Below are 17,691 nucleotides of genomic sequence, written 5' to 3'. Positions count from 1 at the left end.
TTGGGAACGAGCGTCCCACGTTAGAACTGGGATGAATTTTTCAGCAGAGGAAGGTGAAATGTCAGGAAGACTGTAGATCACGCTGGCGCAGAGTCCTCGGGAAATTAGAGCCATGAAAAGCTGCCAGCGCGGCGCCCCAATGACATATGGCCAGCGTGTGTGCTCTGCATCCGCCGATGTTGCTCCCCGGGTGGTGCTCTCCGGGGAGCTAGCGTGAGAGGGGGGCTGGGTCAGCTAGTGCCACCCTCCCCGGGTCCCAGCGGCTCAGGGCCATTGACCCAGGCCCGCAGCTCGGGGACAGCCCCGGCTGCTGCTGTGACCCGCTGCTAATGAAGACCGGGGGGTGAGGGTCAGATGCACATAATGAGCCCTCTTGCCTCTGCCTTCCTCGCCCTCCCTGATCCGAATCCTGTTTTTTCCTTCATTTCTGCCCAGGCCCCAGCTTGGGCCTTGAGTTTCTCATGGGAACAAAGACAGTTTGACTCCTACAGTGACTTTTCTGAAACCCAGATCCAAACACTTACTGTGCATCTCAGAAGCTAGGGCGATAAAGCCCAGGCTCCTTACTATGCTCCTGACAGTGGGGAGAGCTGAAAATGGCTATAAATTTAGGCAGATGGGGATTTTCACCCTGGTCCCAGCATTTATTACCCCTGAGGCCTTCAGCAATTTGTGGACCTTCTCGAAGCCCGTTTATGTCCACATAAATGGGAATAATACTTGTGGGAGTCCAGCGAGTGTTCAGTGCCCATTCACCTGGAGGACTGGGCTCTGTGTCCTACTGTGAGCTGGCCCCAAGCCACCTTTTGACCTCGTCTCCTGCCATGCCTGTCCACAGTGCTCAGGTCTGTGCGCCTTGAACCCCCCCACCCACTTTTTTAACTCTCAGGCGGCATTTTGTGCTGCTCTCTCAGCCTTCGATCTTCTTCCTCCAGGTCTCTGCCTCTCAGAATCCATGTCCTCTCCCAGGGATCAGGTGATATCCAATTGGGTCCTCACTGCCTTTAACCCTCTCAGCACCCCTTTCACCTCACATGAGACTTTGTGTCTAAGGGGTGGGTGGCTGTCTGGCCCCCAGTGGGAAGAAGTGCAGCCCTCATCGCAGCTTTGGCACTGTGGACTCTGAGTTGGAGGCAGTCACCCAGCCTCATTGGGTCACTGGGTCTCCTTGAGGCTGATAGGTAATATACGTCCTGTACCTTTCTTGTAGATTTGTGTTGAAGCTGAGGTGCGAAGTGTGCATCGGAAGTAGGGTTGTCAGATAAAACACAGGATATCCTGTTAAACTTGAATTTCAGGTAAATAAGGAGTAGTTTTCAGTGTCAGTCAGTCCTGTGCCAAGTTTTTATTTCTCAATCTGGTGACCCTTATCAGTGGGTGTACCTCCATATGAGGCTTTGTTAGGTAGCATCCATTCCAGAATGAGGCCCACAGCGGTGGTCAGGCCATGACGTGCTCATGTCACAGACCAGCAGAGGCAGACAAAGCAACGTAACCATCAAGAACCTTCTCAAGCCTGGGGCACCAAAGATCTCGTTGAAGGGACCAGTGGAGGCTCTTCCCCACCCCGCCGTTATCCCCTGAGCACAGAGGCAGTGGCATCGTGGGTCCTTCTCCCTGCAAAGCTTTACCTGCAAAGCTAGGGATAAAACTTCAATTTTAAGAGACCAGAAACATGCTGACAATGATGAGCAGGTGCTGAGTGGTGGGAGGGAGCCTTGGGAGGACCATGGGAACCTGGAGATGGAATATTGGACAGGGTGTATTTTGGAGGCAGTGAGAGAAGTCCCATCATGGGGTCTGAAAAATGAACTTTGCCCCTCAGACGTGAGTCTCATCCCCACAGCAGGCACACAGAACCTTCCAGGGACTGTCTTTGCCAGGAAACTCAATTTTATGCCACAGCCGCCTAAAAAGCAGTGCAACCTTAGCCTCCGTTGACCAAGCTGTGGTCAGTGGGATGGCGGGTAAAACGTCAGAGCACACCCGGAATGCGGCCTCAGTGGCCATAGGCAGAGCAGACAGATGGGGACTGATGTGGCTGCAGGTCACTCCATGTGCAGAGTGATGGACAGATTCGGGGGGCAACTTGAGGAAATTTGGGAGCGTCCCGAGACTCATCTTCAGGCACTTCAGTTATCAGACAGAGGGGATAACTGTGTGTTGTGGCTCCAACACACAGTTATCTTGGGTCAATGAAAGCTATAGGGTGGAGGGTGTCATTTGTATGTCAGCACGAGAGTGACCGCCAGGTCCTTATGTGGTTCTGTGCGCTGTTCCAAAGAAGGCCAGGTCCAGGTTCCCGCAGGATTCAGCAGAGGCTGGGGACAACCCCGACACTGCACAGGGACCCCAGTGCCCCAAGACTGGAGCTTCATGCCCCAGGTGACTGGAGCTCCCCTCCCACCTCTGGTGCCCCAGAGTAGAGCCCCCCCGCCCAGCACCCCGCGAATGGAGCCCCCCACCACAGCATCCTGCGAGTGGAGCCCCCTGCACCCTGGGACTGGAGCTGCCGCCCACACCTCGTGACTGGAGGCCCCTGGCGCCCTGTGACTGGACCCCTAGCCCTGTACTCTGCAGACACCACCTCATGCCCTCCTGATTCTGAACGAGGGATGGTGGGTGAGACAGGAGTTAGTAGGGAGAATGTCTGGCCTGTCTTAAGCCTCAACATTTTTTGAACTAAATGAATAGAAGAAAAAGAAACTGTTGTAAGAGAATGCCACATGTTCTCAGATTTAAAATATGCCACTGCCTTCTATATGTTCTAAGTGTGAAAAAAGCAAGTCCTTGACCTTATGGGACTTGCTTGTAGCTGCCCCCTCACCCCCATAAAAATCATGCAGAATTACTTTCTAAAAATATTTTTTTTTAATGTGAAAAGAAATCATTTCTGGAATCTCAAAAGATACAAAACTACTAATTATTGTATATTTGAAAATCACATATTTCTAGGAAGAGATCATCTTGAGAGTGTGTAACAGGACCAAGGAGAAGAAAATTCTGTGGGCTTTTTCTGGTCTATCAAATAGTAAAGCTTAGAAGGTGGAGGCACTTGTGTTGATAGAGACCGTTCTACCTGTGCACATACTAGGCCTAAGTAAGTAGTAACCTTGTCTTTGCTTGCCAGTTTTCAAAGCACTCTTCAAGCTATTGCAATGTGATATTTCTGGTAATCGTCTGAGAGTGGGCATCTTCATATGCTCCATTTTTGTAAACAAGAAAATAGGAAGTTCAGAGACATTGGTTTGCTCGGGGTCTTGTACGTAAAATTTCAGAATCAAGTTTCAAGAAAAATTTATTTTTTACCCAGCAATTATTTCCCCTAACATATGGGAAACTGGGCTAATTTGTTTATTTGAAAAAAAAATTGATTGATTTGGGGGAATCATAAAATATTTATCAGTGTAACAAAGTTTAGTATATAAAATAATTTTAAATATTTGTATACCATTGAGACATAGCATACACAAGTACAACTGTACCCTGAAGATTCTTGCGTTAAATATAAATATAAGGCAGTCTTACTACAAAGTTTAGATAAGTTTTTAGTTTTAAATTATCAAGACTTTTTTTTTTTTTTTTTTTTTTTGAGACGGAGTCTGGCTCTGTCGCCCAGGCTGGAGTGCAGTGGCGGGATCTCGGCTCACTGCAAGCTCCGCCTCCCGGGTTCACGCCATTCTCCTGCCTCAGCCTCCCAAGTAGCTGGGACTACAGGCGCCCGCCACTACGCCCGGCTAATTTTTTGTATTTTTAGTAGAGACGGGGTTTCACCGTTTTAGCCAGGATGGTCTCAGTCTCCTGACCTTGTGATCCGCCCACCTCGGCCTCCCAAAGTGCTGGGATTACAGGCGTGAGCCACCGCGCCCGGCCAATTATCAAGACTTTTAAAAGCCTTTGAGAACTTACTGGTATTTCTTCTCTCCCTAAGAAAAATATTAAAAAGGAAGATTTTTATAATACCCTTAGTATCTATTTCCTGTTGTTTGGAAACCATTTGTCGTCTTCAGAACGGATAGCTATTTGCTGTAGTCAATCTTGGGTGACTGTGGAAACATTGTTTTCTGACCTTGGCGCTGAACCAAGCATGCACTCCTAATATATAAACAACTTTCCAGCTCCTTTTTCTCTAACAGAGTGTGGTGACCTTGCCGTGGGCACATAACCTCAGGGGCTGTTCTTGCTTGTGTGGGGTAGTGGCTGTGTTCTGGTGTCTGCAGTGGGGAGACGCGAATATTCCAGTTTGGAGCAGCGCAGGGAGCGTCCCTGCCCTGTGCGTACACGGGCACTGCCAGAGCCTGCACACCTGTGCGTACACAGGGGCGCTGCCAGAGCCTGCAGGGAGAATCCTACCCACACCACCGTCTCTTTCCTAACCCCCAGCTCTGCTGCCTCTCTCCCACATGATTACCTCCTTTGAACAGGTAGTAAGGGGGGTGTTAGAACAGAAGGAGGTGTGGACCGGTCTCTTCAACCTTCACTCCCATCGGGAAGCATCTGTCGTTTTGGGGTCTCAAGTCAGTGACCCTGGTCCTGGTCGAGCGCCGGCCATTTTCATGCCCTCCACTCCCACCTCCCTCGCCCACTGTTTTTCCTTTCCCGGGATGCTCTGGGTTTTGGGAGGTGGGATTTTTTGTAGACTGCATAGGCCGTATGGAGCTGGGTTGTGTGTTTATGTGCGTGTGTTTATTCCCTCTGCCAATCTCTGTCTTGTCATTGGTATACTGAGACTACTGACCTCTAAATTATTGATCTCTTAGGGCTTAACTCCGCCATGTTGTTATTTGTTTTCTGTTCTCTTTGTTTCTCATCGTTCTGTTTCTCTTTCACCTTCCTGAGTTATGTGAACGTTTTTTAATACTCCATTTTGATTTAGTTACAGTGTTTTTGAATATACAACTCTGTAGAGGTGCTTTGATGCTTGCTCTAGATATTACAATATACGTATGTCACTTACCAAACCCACAGTTATTGGCATTTTCCTACCTCGAGAGGAATAGAGGAGCCCCACTTCCATCGAGGCCATCTCTGCCCTCCCACTTTAAGAATATAATTGTCTTAAGTGTTTTCTCTCTGTACATTGACCATCAGATGTGGTGGTGTAATTTTTTCGCCAACCATCAAATATGGTTTAAGAAGCTCACGAGGAGAAAGATGTCTACTGTATTTACTGGTTTTTGCCCATTCGTTGTTCTTTTCTTTCAGAAGTTCTAAGCCTTTTTTCATTATAATTTCTTTCCGTTTGAAAAATTTTCTTTATCCATCCTTTGAGGGTAGGTCTGCTTGTGGCAAACTTCCTTAGTTTTCCTCCTTTTGAAAATATCTTTATTTCCCTTTCATTCCTAAGGATACTTGCAGTGAATATAAACTTCAAGGTTGACAATTCTTTGAAAAATGGAAATATTTGAAAAATATTGTTCTGCTTTGTTCTGGTCTCTGGTTTCGGGTGAGAACTTGGTGATCCAGTTTGAATGAAGAGCAGAGGCTGCTTTCAATTTTCGTTCTTGTCTTTAGTTTTCAGAAGTCTAATCGTGCCATGTCTTGGAATAGCTTTCTTGGGGTGTATGCTACTTGAGATTTTCTCAGGCTCTTGAATCTGTAGGCAACGTCCTTCACCAAATTCGAGGACTCTCTGTCCATTATTCCCACAAATGCTTTTCAACCTCACTTTCTCCTCTCTGGAGACTGAGGCCATCTGCTATTGTCCCGCATTCCTGAGGCTGTTCATTTTTTTTTCCGTCTATTTTCTCTCTGGTCTGGTGTTCAAATTGGACATTTCCTGTTGTTCTGTCTTTAAATGTTTTCTCTGCCATATTTATTGTGCTGCTATTGAACTCATCCATTTGGTTCTTTTTTATATCTTTCATCTCTTTGTTGAAATTTTCTGAGTTTTTCCCTTTATTTGTTTCAAGAGAAGAGTCCCTCATGGAAGCATCTTTATGGCGGCTGCTTTAAGATCATCCTGTCCATTGACTGTCTTTTCTCATTCAAATTTTGATTTCCTGGTTCATGGGAAACTCTGGGTCATATTTCAGTCACCCTGTTTAGGTTTGGGGACTGGGTCCTGGCCTTCTTCCACGGGCTGTGTTTCCAGTGGCAGCTGTCAGAGCCCCACAGTCTGTGCAAGTGGGCCTCATTCTCTGAGGCCTCCGTGGCCACACACGGCCGACAGCGTCGGCCAGCGCTGGAATGTTCTTCCTGGGGCTGGTGTGGCTCTGTTGTGTGTGGGAGACGCCGAGAGCATTCCCAGGCCTGTTCTTTTTTTAATTGATATAGCATAGAGGTACATATTTTGGAGGTACATGTGATATTTTGATACATGTATACAATGGGTCATGATCAAATAGGATCATTTGGGATAACCAAATGGCTAACATATCTTTCCTTTGTGTTGGGAACATTACAATTCTCTTCTGCTATTCTGAAATATACAGTAAAGTTTTGTTAACTCTAATTTTCCTACTATACTATCAAATACTAGAACTTATTCCTTCCATATAACTATGTTTATACCATTCACCAGCTTCTCTTCATCCCTGCCTCACTTCTTTTCCCAGCCTCTGGTAACGGGCAGTCTACTCTCTCCCTCCAGGAGAAGTGCGTTTTAGCTGGCACATGAGCGAGAGTGGGGATGCCGTCTTTCCGTGCCCGGGCTGCTCCTGAGGCTGTGCGCAGGTAGTGGGCAGGGCGGGGCTCTTGTTTCCTGGCTGCCTGGTGCTGCTCCTGCAGAAGTGGGGCTGCTGGTTCTATTGCACAGAGACAGTCTCCATAGGCCTGCTTTCTGGGGCCCCAGCATGGTAGGGCTCCTGCATGAACACTGTGCCACTGAGGAAGGGAGGCACCCACCCCAATGCCCTCTACCTCTGGCTTGGGGCCGGGAGACATTAGGGCAGGAGCCGCTGGGTCCGGGGAGACACTGGCAGGAGCTGCTGGGTGAGGGCTGGGAGGGGCTGTCTGGAGTTTTTGACACATATTGGAATTTGGGCTGGGCACAGTGGCTCACACCTGTAATCCCAGCACTTTGGGAGGCTGAGGTAGGCGGATCATTTGAGGTCAGGAGTTTGAGACCAGCCTGTCCAACATGGTAGAACCCCATCTCTACTAAAATACAAAAATTAGCAGGGTGTGGTGGCAGGCGCCTGTAATCCCATCTACTCAGGAGGCTGAGACAGGAGAATCACTTGAACCCAGGAGGGGGAGGTTGCAGTGAGCCCGGATCACGCCACTCCAGCCTGGGCAATAGAGCAAGACTCCCTCCAAAAAAATAAATAAATTAAAAAAAAAATAAAAAGATTGGAGTTTGAAACCGTATATTTATGTACATCCTAAATAGCAAATATAGGAAAAGGAGTTCTCTTTTTTGACTCTATAACTATACAGTACAGTTGACTTTGAACAACATGGGTTTGGACTGGGGGGGTCCACTTACGCATGGATTTTCTTCTGCCTCTGCTGCCCCTGAGGCAGCAAGACCAACACCTCCTCTTCCTCCTCCTCAGTCTGCTCAGTGTGAAGACGACAGGATGAAGAGCTTTATGATGATCCCACTTCCACTTAATGAATAGTCAATATATTTTCTCTTCCTTATGATCTTCCTAAAAATGTTTTCTTTTCTCTAGCTACTTAATTATAACAATATAGTCTGTAATACATTTGTCATACAAAATATGTTAATCTACTATTTATGTTAGTACAGCTTCTGGGCAACAGTGGGCTATTAGTAGTTAAGTTTTTGGGGAGCCAAAAGTTACACACAGATTTTTCAGTTGTGTTGGGGTTTGGTGCCCCTAAACTGTGTGTTGTTTATGGCCCAACCGTAATTTCATAAAGAAAACCAAACTTCTTATGACAAAAAGTAATATATGATATCACCAAAAACGAGTGACCAGGGAATAAGTTAAAGAATCTTAGATAATGAATTCTGCATAAAACACTAACCTGGGAAACAGAAGGGGGGAAAAGAGAACAAATCCAACCAAATATCCATAGAAACCCAGAATGTGGGAAAGGTGTGTACAGCGCTGTTCAGAGGAGCCAAGGGAAGGGGCGGGGCGGGACCCAGGCCACCGCTAGCATGACGAAATGATGACTTCGGGCCTCTGTCCCTCAGGCTGAATGCGTCTGCGCTGGGTGCCCATGCAGCTCACCCCAGTTTCGTTTTTGTGTCTGTCAATAAGTTCAGCACAGTATTGTTTGTAAAAGGCGTGGCTTTACATTGTAGTGGGCTCAGACCCAAGTGACTGCCTCGGAACTCAGTAGAAAGGGGGGAAGCAGCGATTTGAAATTTTCAGGTCATAGAATTGGCGTGATGATGGTAATATGTAACAAGGAGTCATCTTGTAGGAAAATACAGAATAAATAGGAAAGAAAGGAGAACAGAGCCTATGAACCGCCTGGGAGGAGGTGAGAATTTATCAGAAATGGATATGACAGACACTTAGAAGACTGTCTGGATATAGACATAAATGAAAGGGGTGAGTTGAAACTGTCAGATCACTTTCAGCCTGGCTGTGGGAGAGATTGTGGCGGTGTCGTCAATGGTGAGGGCCTTTCTGGAGGGCGGGCAGGTCCCCCTTTGTCTGTCTTTCCCCGTCTCCTGCACCTGCTCCTCCCCAGGGTTGTCAGGTCTGTGAAGGTGGCCCCAGTCCGTTACTCAATGGGGGCACAGGACAGGAGTGGAGGGCTGAACTGGACGGCAGTGGAGGGTTGAACTGGATGGGAGTGGAGGGTTGAACTGGACAGGAGTGGAGGGCTGAACTGACGGGAGTGGAGGGTTGAACTGGACGGGATTGGAGGGCTGAACAGGACGGGAGTGGAAGGTTGAACTAGATGGGATTGGAGGGTTGAACTGGACGGGAGTGGAGGGCTGAACTGATGGGACTGGAGGGCTGAACGGGATGGAAGTGGAGGGCTGAACTGGACGGGAGTGGAGGGTTGAACTGGACGGGACTGGAGGGCTGAACTGGACGGGAGTGGAGGGCTGAACTGTACGGGAGTGGAAGGTTGAACTGGACGGGATTGGAGGGCTGAACAGGACGGGAGTGGAAGGTTGAACTGGATGGGATTGGAGGGTTGAACTGGACGGGAGTGGAGGGCTGAACTGATGGGACTGGAGGGCTGAACTGGACGGGAGTGGAGGGCTGAACTGGTTGGGAGTGGAGGGTTGAACTGGACGGGAGTGGAGGGTTGAACTGGACGGGAGTGGAGGGTTGAACTGGACAGGAGTGGAGGGTTGAACTGGACGGGAGTGGAGGGTTGAACTGGACGGGAGTGGAGAGTTGAACTGGACGGGATTGGAGGGCTGAACTGGACGGGACTGGAGGGTTGAACTGGACGGGATTGGAGGGTTGAACTGGACGGGAATGGAGGGCTGAACTGGATGGCAGTGGAGGGCTGAACTGGACGGGACTGGAGGGCTGAACTGGACGGGAGTGGAGGGCTGAATTGGACGGGACTGGATGGCTGAACTGGACGGGACTGGAGGGCTGAACTGGACAGGAGTGGAGGGCTGAATTGGACGGGACTGAAGGGCTGAATTGGACGGGAGTGGAGGGTTGAACAGGACGGGAGTGGAGGGCTGAACTGGACGGGACTGGAGGGCTGAACTGGACGGGAGTGGAGGGCTGAATTGGACGGGAGTGGAAGGTTGAACTGGACGGGATTGGAGGGCTGAACAGGACGGGAGTGGAAGGTTGAACTGGATGGGATTGGAGGGTTGAACTGGACGGGAGTGGAGGGCTGAACTGATGGGACTGGAGGGCTGAACTGGACGGGAGTGGAGGGCTGAATTGGACGGGACTGAAGGGCTGAATTGGACGGGAGTGGAGGGTTGAACAGGACGGGAGTGGAGGGCTGAACTGCAGGTGTCAGGATCACATAGTCTTGGTTGCTGGATGTGGAGCAGAACCATGTCTTCTGATGAGGTTGCCTGGGTGATTCTGAGAAACGCTGGGAACCCTGGACACTTTGTTCCTCAGCCCTGGCCATCTCAACTCCGATCTCGCCAGACCACCTCCCCGCGCACAGCACGCTGTTCCCTGGATCTCTGCAGCCTTGCGTGGCGCTCCGTGGGGTCTTGGGAAGATCATCTCTGTGGCTTCACCGCTGCCTGTCCGCGTGCCTGGGCGTTTCCAGCCCTTCAGATGGATCCTTTCTGTGTGAACTTGGTGACCGTGTCTGTCTTCCTACATCAGAGTCAGCAAATCACACAGTGGGGATTTTGTAACAGGAAATCTTTTCAAACCATGCAACAAGTACTGTAAATCGGAGATTTGAGTGATAGGGTTTTATGAGAATCTTCATTATTCAACCCAAATTATATGACTGTATAAGATTTTTAACAGTCTTCCTTTGACAGCGATTGACTCTTTGGGGTTATACTCTGTCTGTTATGGCTGGTCAGCCTGCTGTGATTCCCGGTCCTCCCAGCACCCGATGGATCCCGCCGTCTGCCAGCAGAGGGCGAAGCTTCCCGGGCGCAGAGGCCGCACCGTATCACGTGTCGTCTATTGTGTTCACGGTGCCGGGAAACACTCAGAAGTCAGGTTGCCGGCGTCTGGCGGGTTTGTGGCTGCTCCTTATCTTTGGAGTAGTCTTCCTGTGCTTGGGGAAATTTCCTAGGTTATTAGTCGCATTTCCCAATATGAAAATAAGAAATCTATTTTCCAGTTTCGCTGTGACCCGACTCTGCTGGCCTGAGCATTTGGGTGAGACTGATTCAGACGTGGCAGCGTGAGGGGACAGTGGGGGCTGCCACTGCTGCTGTGAGTGGCGGTCGAGGTGGCAGCAGTGCCGGTGACTTCCAGGTGGTGGTCGGTCCCTGGCACGCAGCAGCCTAAGGCAGCAGCAGAGCTGTGGGGTGGCTTCCTTTGTGCTGGATGGGGGCCGCAGAGACTCCCCTGCTGGGCCATGGCCCTGGTGAGGCTCCGAGCTTGGCCCCCAGAGGCTCCCCTTAGCCTGGCCCTCGGCATGGCTGGTGAGAGTGAGCTGCCTGGCACCCCTCCCCTTCCACCCAGCCCCTCACGTTGATCTCCTTTTCTGCTTAATCAGCCGGAGCCAGCTTTTGTGAATTGCAACTAAAAGTGCAGCAAATACACGTGACGTTGGGCTGTGTAAGTCCCCAGGCTGGGGATGGTTACATAGGTGGACACAAGGGCACTGGCTGTCACCACAACTGAGTGCAGCTGTGAGCCAGCGCCACTGTCACTTTTCAGCGGTCTTCATATTTAATCTCCACAACTCTTGAGTCACAATTTCAGTTTTACAGATGAAAAAAACGGAGTCAGATTTCGTGTCCCTGCTGTGGCTGCCCAGGCCCTCCCTCCTGCTGACCTTGGCCCTGGAGCTTCTGCCCTTTTCCTCTGTTCTGTTCTCAGTATTGATCCCTCTCTGCTGCATGCCAGACGCCCTGCTGGAGCGCCCCGAGCTCAGCCATGCAGACACGGCTGGCCTGGCCTTTGGGAGCCTGTCGTCTGATGGGAAGACAGACACAAAGCAAGCAGTTCACCCAGAGTGACAGTGACAAGGTGGCGGGGGTTCCAGGATGCAGGGAGGGCTGTGGATCCGCAGCGGGCCTGGGCTTCTGGCAATGGCCACTGCAATGGGGCACAACCTCTGGTTCCGCGACGTCACGTCACTGCCATCGCTGTCTTCATCCGGCCTGTCGCCATCCACCAACTGCACTCAGGATCAGCTTGCTAAAGCCCAGCAGCAGAAGGAGAAGCAGCCAACAGAAAAGAACTGGGAGGCAAAGAAAGGAGAGTGTGGTGCTGGGAGGATGAGACAGCATGAGAAAGCCAAGGACCTGGATTTCAGAAGAGGGATTGTCTTCTAATTGCTTGAAACCGCAGTTTGCCACTCACCACACGTTTTATTTAAATTTAAATTTTAATTAATTGTTAACATTTAAATTTTTTGTAGAGACAGGGTCTTGCTGTGCTGCCCAGGCTTCACCAGAACCACAGAATATCAGGCGGTGACTCTGATCCTGTGATTCATTAGACATTGGCCCAGAGGCACCCTCGTTAAACTCAAAGCTGATTGAGTTTAGGAAATCAGGGGTTTTCTTTTTGCTGTATGCCGGAAAGTTTTCAGGTGGCTGGATCTGGAACCCCAAGTCGCTGAGGGAGTATTCTATACACAGGTTTCTTGAATTCAGTTCCACTCTGGAGATTTTCCCACTGCTGGCGTGGCCTCAGGAGCCCTGTAAAAGAGTCCTGTGAGCTTCTGCTTTATCGCATCTGGCAGTCTCTCCGCCTTCAGAGCCCTCATGGTGGTCCTGTCAAATCCTAACTGATGCGCTGCTCCGCCTTCTGGCCTCCTGACCCTTGTTTTAGAAGTGAGAAGCCCAGATGTGAGTTCTAAATTTGTTTTTATTCCCACGTGTTCCTGATAGAAACACCTACCACATCTAACACCTAAGACATTTTAAATGGTGGGTTTGAGTATCCACAGGTATCAAAGATGACTAACCATCCCTTGCCACTTGTCACTTTATTTTTATCCTACTGTGTTATTTTATCACCTTGAGACTGTATTTAATCAGTCTCTGAAATGAAAATAAGAGGTTTGAGGTGTCAAACAAATATTATAAGACCAGAAACACTTTTCTCGTTTGGTTTTGTTTTTAACACAGTTCAGGTATGTTTGGCCACCATTGTGGGTACCTGAGTAAGAACTAATTACTCAATAATGAGCCTGGCCCACTTGGAAGAAGAAAGAGCATTGTCTGACTTAGTGACCTGGCCTGGGAGACTCCTCAGTGTTCAGATGGCTGTCCCCTGGCAGGCACAGGGAGTGAAGGCCAGTTCTCCTTGGAGCATTCTCTAACTTAGTGACCTGGCCTGGGAGACTCCTCAGTGTTCAGATGGCTGTCCCCTGGCAGGCACAGGGAGTGAAGGCCAGTTCTCCTTGGAGTCCCCGGGACCTGCCTCCATGCTTGTTGTTGTGAAGGGGTCAGAAAGAAGATGTGTGTTTGTTGCCGTCTACTGCATCTCACTTGGAACTGAGTCACTCATCCCGGAAGCTGCATCTGAAAAGCAAGGCTCATTGCGGAATCTCATGCAGACACAGAGGAACTTGCGTGCCCGTGATGCTGACCTCTGCTTGTCCAAAGAAACTGTCATTTCCCAAAACATTTTTGGAACTTTTCTTTCAGAAATGCTCTAAAAGTCAGCTTCAGTGCCATCTGAGAAAATCTCTCTGCTGTGTTTTTGTAGGATACTTTTTGGCTCCTGATAATTTAGCCCTATGAATCATCTTTTTCATTCATCAGGCTGGCCTCTGAGATTTTTGACTATTTTGAGAACTGTACCCTGAAAAACAAGATTTCTCCTAATGAAGAACACACAGAAGCCTGTGCTGTTGGAATTGGCACTGTCCGGAGTTCACAGGTTCACTCGCTCACTCGCTGTTTATAACCCATGACATATATACTCTCTTGTAGAAAACATGCCTGGGCGACAGCTGGTTTACAAACGCTTTTGGACCATTAGGTATTTGTATGATTGGGACATCGGGACTTCCCAGCATCATCCAGAAATAAGTGCATTGTGTGTACCTTCTTGTTTTTGTTTTTGGTTGATTCTTTTTTTTTTTCATGGAAATGGTATTGGCAAGAAGGCTGTTTGATAGGGTATTAGCGCGAAAGCCCATTTGACCCTGAAGTACAGCCTTGAGAAACGGACACATTGGAGAGGCTGTGAGGCAAGGATGTGGCCGTGGACATGCAGGTGGCATTGAGGCGAGACTGCTGGGAGCCCAGTCCAGGCTTTTTAGGGAGCAATGATGAAGGCACTGTAAGAGCAGAGGAGGGGTGCTTGCATCCTGAAGCTGAGGCACTGACGAGAAGGAGAGGGGGCGGGCCTGTGTAAAGGCATTTAGATAGACCTGTGCTGGAAAGACCAGAAGCCAGCCATTCATATGTAATCACTGTCTAGGTACAAAGGAGAGTACATGTGTTACAGGGGAAACTGTCGTTTTAATGGACCAAATAGAATTTTGGAGTTTTGACATCTTAAAACTAGTTTTCCATAATATAGGACATTCATTTTGCAATTGTGAAAACTGGGAGGTTAAAAGTCTTGTTTGGGATTTCACAGGGTTGAATTATATGAAATTGCTGAAATTTGACCCTTTTTGACCTATAAGAATGGCAGTTTCATATGGTTCAAACTATTGATTTAGTGATCCAGCCACAGCTGTCTGCACTGGAGTTTGCGCTTTGCCAGGCCAGGCTGCATACCTCACTGGGGAATCTTAGGGTCCCTGTCAAGAGGCACCTTGGAGACCAAATAGTGTGACTCTTGCGTCATAAATTTGCTGAGTCTGGGCTCTGAGCACTTGAGTGACTGGCCCAGGATCACTCGACTGTGAGTGGTGGTGCCGAGACTGGGAACGAGATCCTTTTCACTCACTGCCTAGAGAACCAAGCTTTCTACAGACTGTCAAGAGAGGGAATGCAGCTTGGTGAATGACATCTTAGGGACGTATAAGATTGCATGTAAACTGCCAGGTTGTCTGTCTTCCGTGATTTGGCAAAACCTAAGAAGAGCTTACATAGCTTACACGTATGGCCATAACTCAAAGTGTGTGTGTGTGTGTGTGTGTGTGTGTGTGTGTGAGAGAGAGAGAGAGAGAGAGAAAATATTTTCCTTTCTGAAATTTAAAACATACAAATGGGAATTTCAGCAGGCTATAGTGTCAAAGTCAATAGTATGATTTGCCCATTAAAACAAAAAGCCAATCTAATCCAAGGACTCTCTTTTCCTAAGAGAAGGAGATATTCGTAACAAGGCCGCGCCCAGTCAGATCACATCCATGTGGCATCCAGCTCTCAGAATGCCATCAGCAGAGCCCCAAGCAGAGTCGCTGGGACAATGAGCTGACCCAGGGCCGAGCACTGCAGGACAAGGGGCCAGGACAGTGAGCTGACCCAGGGCCGAGCACGGCAGGACGGGGGGCCAGGACAATGAGCTGACCCAGGGCGGAGCACTCCAGGACAGGGGGCAGTCCATGGAGGCTCACGCGGGAGGCCCTGTGGAGAGACAGACACAGCGACATTCTCAGCAACAGCTAGGACTTGTGATGAATCTTGGCTTCCTGAAGTCCAGAACTCACCCTGGTCATCTCATTACTTTTGAAAAATGAGAACCCCCATTTTAAATGTTTGAGGCTTTTTGGCCTCATTAATAGTGCTATGGTGGGGCTTTCCTGTATCTGTGGGGCTGTTAAGCGGGAGAGGACTGGACCTTCTCTTTCTGATCCCAGGGCAAAGATCTGAGCGCAGTGAGCAGGAGCGGGGTAGGTAAGGGAGAAGTTAACACCGAGTCAGACGATGTCCCCTGGAAGGCTGGGCTTGACGTCTGCAGCTGTCCCAGAGCTGTACGTGTCTTCTCCCAGGAAGCATTTGTGCCGACACTGGAATGCCTTCTTATGGGGGGTGAGTCTTCTGACAGTGGTTGGATAGAGTGTGGTTGGGGGTTCCTTCCCTCATGGAGAGCCCGAGCACCTTAGAGAACACGGCCCCTCTTTGGCTGCTGTCAATCCTTGTGTGGAGCATTTCTGAATACTGAGTGAGCTCTTGGTATAGGAGATCAAGAACCCACGACATCTTCTCGGGGGAGGACACCGGAATTTGCTTGTTGAGATCTGAGGACACTCAGCCAGGGGAGGATCATTATTACAGAACCAATTTACCAACACCATCGAGATCGTAAGATCCTAGATACTATCAGGATGACTTTGGAGGCCATAACTCCCTTCTGATTAATTTTATCTCTTTCAAGGGCATGACGACAGACAAGATGGGTCCAGGGGAAGCAATAGATGTAATCTGACACTAGCAAGACTTGGATTCTCTCCCACACAACCCAGCCATCAATAAAACGGCAGTATCTAGGCCAGACCAGTGGCTTTCAAATCTTGTTTTAAAGCTACCGAACCCATTTTCACAAGTGACAAGGAACCCCAATATATAAGCCTGTAATAGACATATAAATAAAACCCCGGTATGTGAAACGGGTAAGAGTGGGGCTGCAGTGGCAGAAGGAGTGGGCCGCACGAATCTCAAGCCTTTCTCTGCTAACAAGCATCTGTTAAGGGAATGAAGGGAAAATACAATAAATAGAGCAGGAAATGTATAGCATTATCCATGAGTCCCAACTGTCTGAGATGGCAGATCTTTTGGTGATGACCCCCTCTCTGACCCATAGGCTCAAAAGTGCCTGGCACATAGTAGGCACTGAGAAAGTATTTGTTGAATGTAGTGAATGAGCAAATGAACAAAGGGTTTCTCCTAAATCTCCTTAAAAAGCAAGACAAAGCTGAACCCGGGAGGCAGATCTTGCAGTGAGCTGAGATGGAGCCACTGCACTCCAGCCTGGATGACAGAACGAGACTCCATCTCAAACAAACGAACAAAAAAAGAAGCAAGACAAAGCTTTTCATGGTCTAGGAGAGGGGCCAGGAAACCACAGCCACAGCTAATTCTGGCCCACTACCTGGTTTTGTGAATAAAGTTTTATTGGCACCCAGACACACTCGCTTATTTCTGTAATGTCTGTGGCTGATTTTGCTCTACAGAGTAACTGCGATAAAGACTGTGTGGCCTGCAAAGCCAAAAATATTTATGACCTGGCCCTTTACAGAAAAAGTTTGCCGTCCCTTGGACTAGAATGCAAGGGAGAACCTGGCTGTTTCCCCTGGGCATGAGGCTGAACTGGGAGGTAGAACCTCGTAGCTCAACTCTTCTGAAACTGGTTGAACTCCGTTGTAGAAGGGACTTTGAAAATCTGCTCATCTACAGCCCTTATTTAACTGTTAGGGCAAATGCCCACCATCTGCTGAGCCCTGTGCTTACCACTTGCCTCACCAGCGGTGTAAGATGTGAATGGCTGTCTCTGCATGCTGCAGGTGAGGCAGGTGTGGCTGAAACACTCACTTCATGCCACTCAGCCTTCTTTTATACTCCACTGAAACATCAGCCTTTCCTCGCCCCCACCCTCTTTATTCCGTAGTCGGATTCCATCGATGCTGTTTTCACAGTGTCCCACACGCCTCTTTCTTTTGTGGTCACCAGATACATGCTGAGCTCCTAGCATGTGCCACACTGTCCCAAATGCTGGAGCCACAGACACAATTAAGCCCACCTAATCCCTGCCACCCAGGAGCTCATGGACAAAAGGAAGTGATTCTGGTACAGAGAGAAACTGCCACCACCTGCCTGCCGGATGGGTGCCGGGAGAAGTAGATGGCTTCCAGGCTAGGCAGGAGAACAAGATTAGCTCTTAATTGGAAACCCCTAAGGAAACAAGTCAGAGACTCGGAGAGACTTGGTCCTAGACAGCTGAGGTTGAAGAAAGGTCAGAGCCCTGGTTTCACCTGTGAGGACAAAGATGCCCAGAGCTGGATGGGCAGTGTGTGGGTGCAGAGAGGACAGGCTGGATGGACAGTGTGTGTGCAGAGAGGGAACAATCTGTGTGTGTAGAGAGGATAGGCTGGATGGAGGGTGTGTGTGTGTAGGGAGGATGGGCTGGATGGATTCTGTAGGCAGAGAGAGGACGGGCTGGATGGAGGGTGTGTGTGTAGACGGGATGGGCTGGATGGAGGTGTGTATGTGTGTAGAGAGGATGGGCTGGATGGAGGGTGTATGTGTAGAGAGGATGGGCTGGATGGAGTGTGTGTGTGTATACA

At 49.2% G+C, this 17,691-nt stretch overlaps 1 protein-coding gene across 5 annotated transcripts in view, besides 1 other annotated feature; it reads left to right on the top strand.

Annotated features, from left to right (window-relative positions):
* EIPR1 (EARP complex and GARP complex interacting protein 1) overlaps positions 1-17,691 on the top strand; it is a 188,849-nt gene that overhangs the window by 63,574 nt on the left and 107,584 nt on the right. The gene's annotated exons all lie outside the window — the stretch shown is intronic.
* Positions 7,415-7,585: a silencer, noted in NCBI's record as "fragment chr2:3310431-3310601 (GRCh37/hg19 assembly coordinates)". NCBI's record gives its function as "represses an EF-1alpha promoter that drives an FKBP-Casp9 reporter gene in an ReSE screen in phorbol 12-myristate 13-acetate-treated (for megakaryocytic differentiation) K562 erythroleukemia cells {active_cell/tissue: K562(+PMA)}" and the evidence as "EXISTENCE:reporter gene assay evidence [ECO:0000049][PMID:32094911]".

Source organism: Homo sapiens, chromosome 2 (assembly GCF_000001405.40).
Source record: "Homo sapiens chromosome 2, GRCh38.p14 Primary Assembly".
Lineage (NCBI taxonomy): Eukaryota > Metazoa > Chordata > Mammalia > Primates > Hominidae > Homo > Homo sapiens.
Note: the sequence above shows the minus strand (reverse complement) of the source record. Positions and strands in the feature narration are given on the sequence as shown.